Genomic DNA, 7,847 nt, shown 5'->3' with positions numbered 1-7,847 from the left:
CACTCCAGCCTAGGTGACAGAGTGAGACCCTGTCTAAAACAAACAAACAAAAAGACGGTAGAATGTGATGAGCAGAATGCTAGAAAAGTCAAGGGCACTATGGGAACTTGTAGAAGAGACTTCAAACCCCAACTTTATGGACCATGAAATACTTCCTGGAGGAAACACCTGAGCCGAGACCTGAAGAATAAATAGAGTGTTGTGAGCAGTCACCTGTACAAAAGCTGCAAGCAAGAGAGAATTTGTACTTTCAAGGAAATGCAAGAAATTCAGAGAAGTTCGGCTCGACTGGAACATAGAGCGCAAAATTGAGAAGAGTGCCTGCAGGGCCAGGCGCGGCAGATCTTGAAAGGTATCTAAGCTCCATTGAGAGTCTAGATTTTATCCTGGGAGCCATGGACCATCACTGAGGAGTTTCCAGTAGAAGAGTGACACAGTGAGGATCTGGTTTATTTTATTTATTATTAAATTTGATTTTGAGTCAATTGTTTTGTGTGTGGGGGGTTTTGTTTTGTTTTGTTTTTTCAGACAGGGTCTCACTCTGTTGCCCCAGGCTGGAGTGCAGTGATGTACTGCTCACTGCAGCCTTGACCTCCTGGGCTCAGGTGATCCTCCCCCCTCAGCCCCCACCCTCCCTCCACCATGTAGCTGGGACACCACCACCATGGCCAGCTAATTAAAAAAAAATTGTGTAAGGCTGGGTGCGGTGGCTTATGCCTGTAATCCCAGCTACTCGGGAGGCTGAGGCATGAGAATTACTTGAACCCGGGAGGCAGAGGTTGCAGTAAGCCAAGATTGTGCCACTGCACTCCAGCCTCGGTGACAGAGCAAGACCCTGTCTCCAAAAATAAAATAAAATAAAATTACGTAAATAATTTTTTTTTTTTTTTGTAGAGACAGGGTCTCCCTGTGTTGCCCAAGTTGGTCTCAAACTCCGGGGGCTCAAACGATGCTCCTGCCTCGGCTTCTCAAAGTGCTGGGATTACAGGTGTGAGCAACTGCACCAGGCCCTAAAAGTCATTTTAGTTTTTGCAAAGGTACACACATGGTACAAAAGAGCACATATTAAAGCACAAATCCCCCTGACTTTCCTGTCCCCGGCCATCCAGCACCCCACAGGTGTAGCCTTTGGAATGCTCATTTTGGCTGCAAGTTGAAAAGCAACATGGTATTGAAGCAAGAGTGAAAACAGGAGACCCTTTAGGAAGCCGTTGAGCATTCTGGATAACAGCGGATGGTAGTGACTGTGAGAATGATTTTACACTCTAGGAGGCCAAGGCGGGTGGATCACTTGAGGTCAGGGGTTCAATACCAGCCTGGCCAACATGGTGAAACCCCGTCTCTACTAAAAAAAAAAAAACCTACAAAAATTAGCCAGGCATGGTGGCACGCCTCTGTAATCCCAGCTACTCAGGAGGCTGAAGCAGGAGAATTGCTTGAACCCGGGAGGTGGAGTTTGCAGTGAGCCGAAATCGCCCCACTGCACTCCAGCTTGGGAAACAGAGCGAGACTCTGTCTCAAAAAACAAACAAACAAACAAACAAAACAAAAAGAAAAGGAAAAGAAAAGAAAATAAATAGAAAAGAAAAGAAAAAGAATGATTTGAGAGACATGGAGGAGGCATCAATAACAGAACCTGGGGACTGATTGGACATGGGGTATAGGAGAAGAAGAAGGACGACACTCCAGAGAGGAGATAGTGCTTCAGTGTGCCAAGGAGGAACAAAAGGGGAGCCAAGTTAGGGGGATGGCGGGGTGGTCCGCGAAGATGGGCCACCAGCAATGCCGTCCCCTCATGCGCATGCTGCTCCGTTAGTGCATTTTCTGTCTCCTTAAATCCAGGGTGGAGCCGGGCACCTGATTACATGCCTGTAATCCCAGCATTTTGGGAGGCCAAGGCGGGTAGATCACTTGGGTTCAGGAGTTTGAGACCAGCCTGGCCAACATGGTGAACCCCATCTCTACAAAAAATACGAAAAATGACAAAATCCAACAAAAAGTACATCTCTACAAAAAATATGAAAAATGAGCCAGACGTGGTAGTGAACACCTGTAATCTCAGCTACTCGGGAGGCTGAGGCATGAGAGTGGCTTGAACCCAGGAGGCAGAGGTTGCAGCAAGCCAAGTGCGCCACTGCACTCCAGCCTGGGTGACAGAGTGAGACTCTGACTTAATAAATCAATCAATCCAGGGTGGCCTGTGATTTGCTCTGACCAATGGTGGCAGCAACACTGATGCCCTGACAGGTGAGGTCTAGGTCTTTTTTTTTTTTTTTTTTTTTTTTTGGAGACAGGTCTCTGTCACTCAGGCTGGAGTGTAGTGGTGTGATCATAGCTCCCTGTAACCTCCGCCTCCCAGGCTCAAGTGATTCTCCCACCTCAGCCTCCTGAGTAGCTGGGTCTACAGGCCTGTGCCACTACACCTGGCTAATTTTTCTTTCTTTTCTTTTCTTTTTTTTTTTGAGACAGGGTTTTGCCATGTTGCCCAGGCTGGTCTCAAACTCCTGGCCTCAAGTGTTCCTTCCACCTGGCCTCCCAAAGTGTTGCGATTACAGGCGTGAGCCATCGCGCCCAACCTGAGGTCTAGGTCTTAAGAGACCTGACAACTTCTACTTCTTCCCTGTTGGAAGCCAGTCACCATGTAAAGAGGTCTGGCCACCCTGGAGGAGAGGGAGCTATAGGGAAAGAGAGCGAGGGAGAAGCACCAGAGGATGAGAGACTATGAAGGAAAAGAGAGAGCCCCAACCAGCCCCCTTCTCCTCCAGCCGTCCCAGCAGAGGGGCCAGATATATTTGTGAAGCATCTTGGATGCTCCAGAACCAGTGTGGCAAGCTGTCCACACTGAATCTTGCCCAATTTGTAGAATTGTGAGCAAAGAAAAACTTGTATTATTGGCTGGGCGTGGTGGTTCATGCCTGTAATCCCAGCACTTTGGGAGGCCGAGGCGGGCAGATCACCTGAGGTCAGGAATTCGAGACCAGCCTGACCAACATGGTGAAACCCCGTCTCTACTAAAAATAAAAAATAAAAAATAAAAAAATTAGCCAGGCATGATGGCACATGCCTGTAATCCCAGCTACTTGGGAGGCTGAGGCAGGAAAATTGCTTGAACCCGGGAAGCAGAGGTTGCAGTGAGCTGAGATCGTGCCACTGCACTCCAGGCTAGCCAACAGAGCAAGACTCAAAAAAAAAAAAAAAAAAAGAAAAAGAAAAGAAAAGAAAAGAAAAACTTGTATTGTTGTAAGCACTCAGTTTTGGGGTGGATTATTTACTCAATAGATAACTGAAAAATGAAGGGAGTGGGGAGTAGAGGAGAGAGGCTTTGGGTTCAGTTTGTTGCCTTAGGGTTCTAGACCTCAGAATTTCACAACCATGGCCGGCTGCTTCCCTCCTTTCCTGTTTCCTTGCTAAGCGTCTACAGCTTTGTAGTCCAGAGCTTCAGCCTGGGAAGTTCAGGCATCTGGTCTGCTGTTTCTCTGGTGCCCAAATAAACAGCTCTAAAATTCAATAGCATGTTGATGGCTCTGTTTCTTTGGTCAGTCTATGGTAGGTTCCAGTCCACCTTTGGTTTGGGGGAAGGATTTTTTTTCCTCTGATTTGATACCCCTGGGAGAAATGTTATTTCTTTGTATTATTCAGCTTCTATTAATAACACAAGTCTGAATACAAAGTAGGTGTTCACGAAATGCCAGATGAACAGCTAGATGAGGCTCACTTGGATAGAGTCCTAAATGGGGTCCAATTCCTGAGTTCCCGTCCCACCCAGAGCCCTTCAGTTTCTCCATGTATGCAAAGGAGGTCTCACCTTACTGTTTCCCTGCAGCTCAGGAGCTGGTCCCATAGCTGGGGGTGGGGTGGGGAGTGGAGATACAGATCAATGATGAGTTAAAGGGCTCAAATGCTGTCAGAGTGTCATTCCCTCTGTGCCTCCATGGGGAAATGGCCAGAACTGCAAGGAAGCAGGTGATGTGACATGCATGGGCAGTGTGATTGATGGGGACCAAGACCTGGAGCGGTGGGTCTGCATTCCTTGGCCTGCAGAGGCCTGAGGAGGGGCCGCATGTGTTTGCTGTGTGCACGTGAAAAAAAGAGAGTAGAGAGTAAACAGATCCTTGTTGTTTGGCTCAATGGCCCTCTTCCCCTTCAACCCAGGACGGCCGCCAAGAGCTCAGCCAATTGAGATCACCTGCCTTTATCTGTCTCCATGTTGTGGTGTACTTGGTTTCCCTGCAGAACGGGACTCCCCAAGACAGGGAGCACACCCCTTTCTCAATTTCCTCTTCAGGGCCAGAGAGACTAGGGACCCTCTACGCAGTCCCTATAGGCTGCTCTTGGTGGCCCCTCCAGAGCCCCTTTCTTGCAGCTCTGAGAGGATGTAGCATCCTCCCGTGTCCCCCAACCCAGCTGTCATCACAGTGGAATCCAAGAAGGGACTCAGGAGAGACTCTTGTCCAATCTTCTCTTATTCAAGGGAAGGATACTGATCAGGGAAGTGAAACATCCAACGTCCTGGCTGGTCTCTGGCAGAGTTGAGGCCAAGACCTATGTTTCCTAACTCCCAAGTCAGTGCCTCAGCTGCCCGCACAGCCTCCCTCAGAGCTCTCGCCTCATCAACCTTTTGTTTTTTTGAGACGAAGTCCTACTCTGTCGCCCAGGCTGGTGTGGAGTAGCGTGATCTCGGCTCACTGCGACCTCCACCTCCCTGGTTCAAGCAACTCTTCTGCCTCAGCCTCCAAGTAGCGTGTGCCATCACGCCCAGCTAATTTTTGTATTTTTAATAGAGATGAGATTTCACCATGTTGGCCAGGTTGGTCTCAAACTCCTGACCTCAAGTGATCTGCCCGCCTCTGCCTCCCAAAGTGCTGGGATTACAGGCGTGAGCCACCACTCCCGGCACTACCTCTCTTTTGTTTGTCCTCTACTTTCTCTTCTCAGCCTCTCTCTGGCGCATGCCCCGTGGGAGGGACACTTGCAGCTTCGGGGAGGGGTGGCCAGCAGGCAGCCTTTCTGAGTGAGCGTGGAGCTTACGGCGTTTTTGAACACAGAGAGGCTGACGTGCACTGGCACACGCACACACACTGCCACATCCACATGCAGGTGCTACTTGACTCAGCTGCTTCCGCTTGGCCAGGGAGACACAGGCACACACACAGCCACACACACCTCTGTTAGGTGGCGTGCTCTCCACTAGTCCCTGCTCAGATGGACCCTGGCACCAACAGGAGTCATGGGACTCCTTCCATGGCCTCAGCCCTTGGTGTCCACAGCAGGCGTAACTGGGGGCAACAGATCAAGGACAGATCAGGGACAGTGGAATGACTGACCCCTGTAGCCTGGGATCTGGGAAGACAGGTTCAGAGCCATCATCCTCACGGGCTCATCTTTGTCCACTTAGGATTCCTCCCACTGGGGCCCTGAGTGTCACTCCCAGCTGGATAATGGGAGGGTGAGAACCCCTACTTTCCTTCTTCCTCTTGCTCCCTTTGCCACCCCTTCCCACTGCTTGATAAGAATCTGTTTAAACTAAGCTGCTGCCAGGCCATAGACTCCATGGAGACCCAGCTGGATCTCTTAAAACACAAGGGGAGATGTTTATCTTTTCTCCTAGCCCTGCCTGGGTTACCTCCTCCTGGCACTGCCAGCCAAGGGCCCTGCCTGGTGAGACAAATTAGGGAAGACCAAGCTGGGCCCTGGCACCTAGGCTAAGGGTGTGAGCAGTGTTGGGGGAGGGGTGGGCCTGGCAGGCGGGGGAAGGGCAGGTAGGGAGGTGTCCTTTCAGAGTTTACTCACCTCTTCCTGTCCCCTCACCTCCCACCCCAGCCCCAGTCACTCCACTGCCCCCCACCTCTGGAGAAGCTGAATTGGGATTCGATCCCCAGCCAGTTGCTGGAGTTCCGGAGCAGCTGGCCCAGGCCTTGGGGGAGGGGGCCAGGAATGCTGGGGCTGAGGCCTGGGCCGCCCCAGACAGAGCCGGCTCTGAATTCTGGGAATGTTTGTGCAGCTGGAGCCCATTAGGGGAGAGAGCCAGGCCGCTTATTAATCCCAGCCTTGTTCCCCGGGAGGGGCCAGGGCCCTGCACACGAGTAGAGGGGGAGAGGGCTCTGCTAAGGGAGGCCAGCCCCCAGCCCCCAGCCCCCAGCCCTCAGCCCTCAGCCCCCTGCTTGGTGGAGTCTCAGACAGGAGCTTGGAGATCTGGGGCCCTGCACTTCACTTGCATGGTGCACATGTGTGTGTGGGTGTATGTACCCACATGTGTGTGGGGATGAGTGTGGAGGCAGGGGTGTGGGCACAGTGAGGGGGCAACTGGGGTATGGGGAGGTACAGAGGGTATGGGGGGTATGGCAGAAAGCGCTCCTACATGGAGAGGCAGGGAGCACATGGTGGTCCTGGGAGGTGGTGTGTACACTCCTCAGGGATCCCCACCTGCCCCCAAGAGCTCCTGCTGCCTGCCACTCTGGCTAGTGGGAGAAGAGGAGAAGGAGGGGATGGATTTGTGTGGCCCAAGTGTTGAATGTGTGCACAGATTGCTGAGGACTGAGTGTGGAGGCAGGACCTCCACGTGGAGCCATGGGGGTCATGTCCTGCAACAGCTACAGGGGACGCCATCTGCCCTGACCTCAATGTGAGGAGCACAATCCTGGGGTTGTGCAGTGTATGACCTGCTCAGCTACACACAGTGCTCCTGGGAGTAGGCTGGGAGTCTGGGGGCCTGAGTTTGGTTCCAAGCTGGCACTGCTGTAAGATGTGGCACAAAGGGTGATGACACTGAAACCAAATGTAGGCCTGGCATGATGTTCCAGCTCTTCTGAATAGCATGGGGCCTTGCATCTATTTCTTTTCTTTTCTTTTTTTTGAGACAGAGTCTCGCTCTGTTGCCCAGGCTGGAGTGCAATGGCACGATCTCGGCTCACTGCAACCTCCGCCTCCCAGGTTCAAAAGATTCTCCTGCCTCAGCCTCCTGAGTAGCTGGGATTACAGGTGCCCGCCATGACACCTGGCTAAATTTTTTGTATTTTTAGTAGAAACAGGGTTTCACTATGTTGGCCAGGCTGGTCTTGAACTCCTGACCTCAGGTGATCCACCCACCTCAGCCTCCCAAAGTGTTGGGATTACAGGCGTGAGCCACTGAGCCCAGCTTAATCTCTCTGAGCCTTACTTCCTTTATCCACAGATGGGCATTGGGTCTGTCCTATGTACCTCATAGTAGTGTTCTAACTTGGTGCCATGGAGGGTGGCAGAGGAAGCACCGCTTGCCCGCCTGTTACATGTGTGTTCTCAGGATGCCATCTTGGCAGCGACCTGTCTCCTGTCAGGCCCAGCGCCGTGTGATAGACAGCTGTGGGGGGATGCTCTGGTACATCTGGTACAGAGCTGAGGTCCCCTTGTACTTACTGCTCTCACTCAGGCCCTGCCACATCTCCAGCTGGGGGCTAAGACTGTTAGATGCACAGGGTGATGATACCAGAAAGGTTCCAGGAAGAATTCTACTGGAACTTGGGAAAGTTGGGACCTGTGACGAAAATCCCAGCACCCCGTTTGGGAAACAGGGAGGAAGACGCCATGACCATTCCTTAGAGAGAGGGTTCGCTTGCACGGCCTCTGCTGAACTGCGGTCCAACCCTTCCTGGGAGAAGGTGTGACTTCGGGCTGGTATATTAGAAGGAAGGTCAACGCGGGACAGGGGCGGGGTGGAGGGTGGCTTTGGAGAGACAGTCATCGGCCTTAGCCATCCCCAGAAGCCTTGGTGAAGGAGAAGAAGAAAACCCTCTCCTCTAACCCCTTGTTTCCACAAGCCTCCCTTTGTTCAGAGGGTCAGCTTAGGTATGGTGAGTTCTCTTCAAAACTTC

General features: G+C 51.9%; 1 annotated feature.

Moving 5' to 3' along the window:
* Positions 6,423-7,034: an enhancer, noted in NCBI's record as "H3K27ac-H3K4me1 hESC enhancer chr17:42684805-42685416 (GRCh37/hg19 assembly coordinates)". NCBI's record gives its function as "activates a minimal SCP1, AML or CMV promoter by ChIP-STARR-seq in primed H9 embryonic stem cells {active_cell/tissue: H9 hESC(primed)}" and the evidence as "EXISTENCE:reporter gene assay evidence [ECO:0000049][PMID:30033119]".

Source organism: Homo sapiens, chromosome 17 (assembly GCF_000001405.40).
Source record: "Homo sapiens chromosome 17, GRCh38.p14 Primary Assembly".
Taxonomy (NCBI): domain Eukaryota; kingdom Metazoa; phylum Chordata; class Mammalia; order Primates; family Hominidae; genus Homo; species Homo sapiens.
The sequence above is the reverse complement of the archived record's forward strand: the minus strand, read 5'-3'. Positions and strand labels throughout refer to the sequence as shown.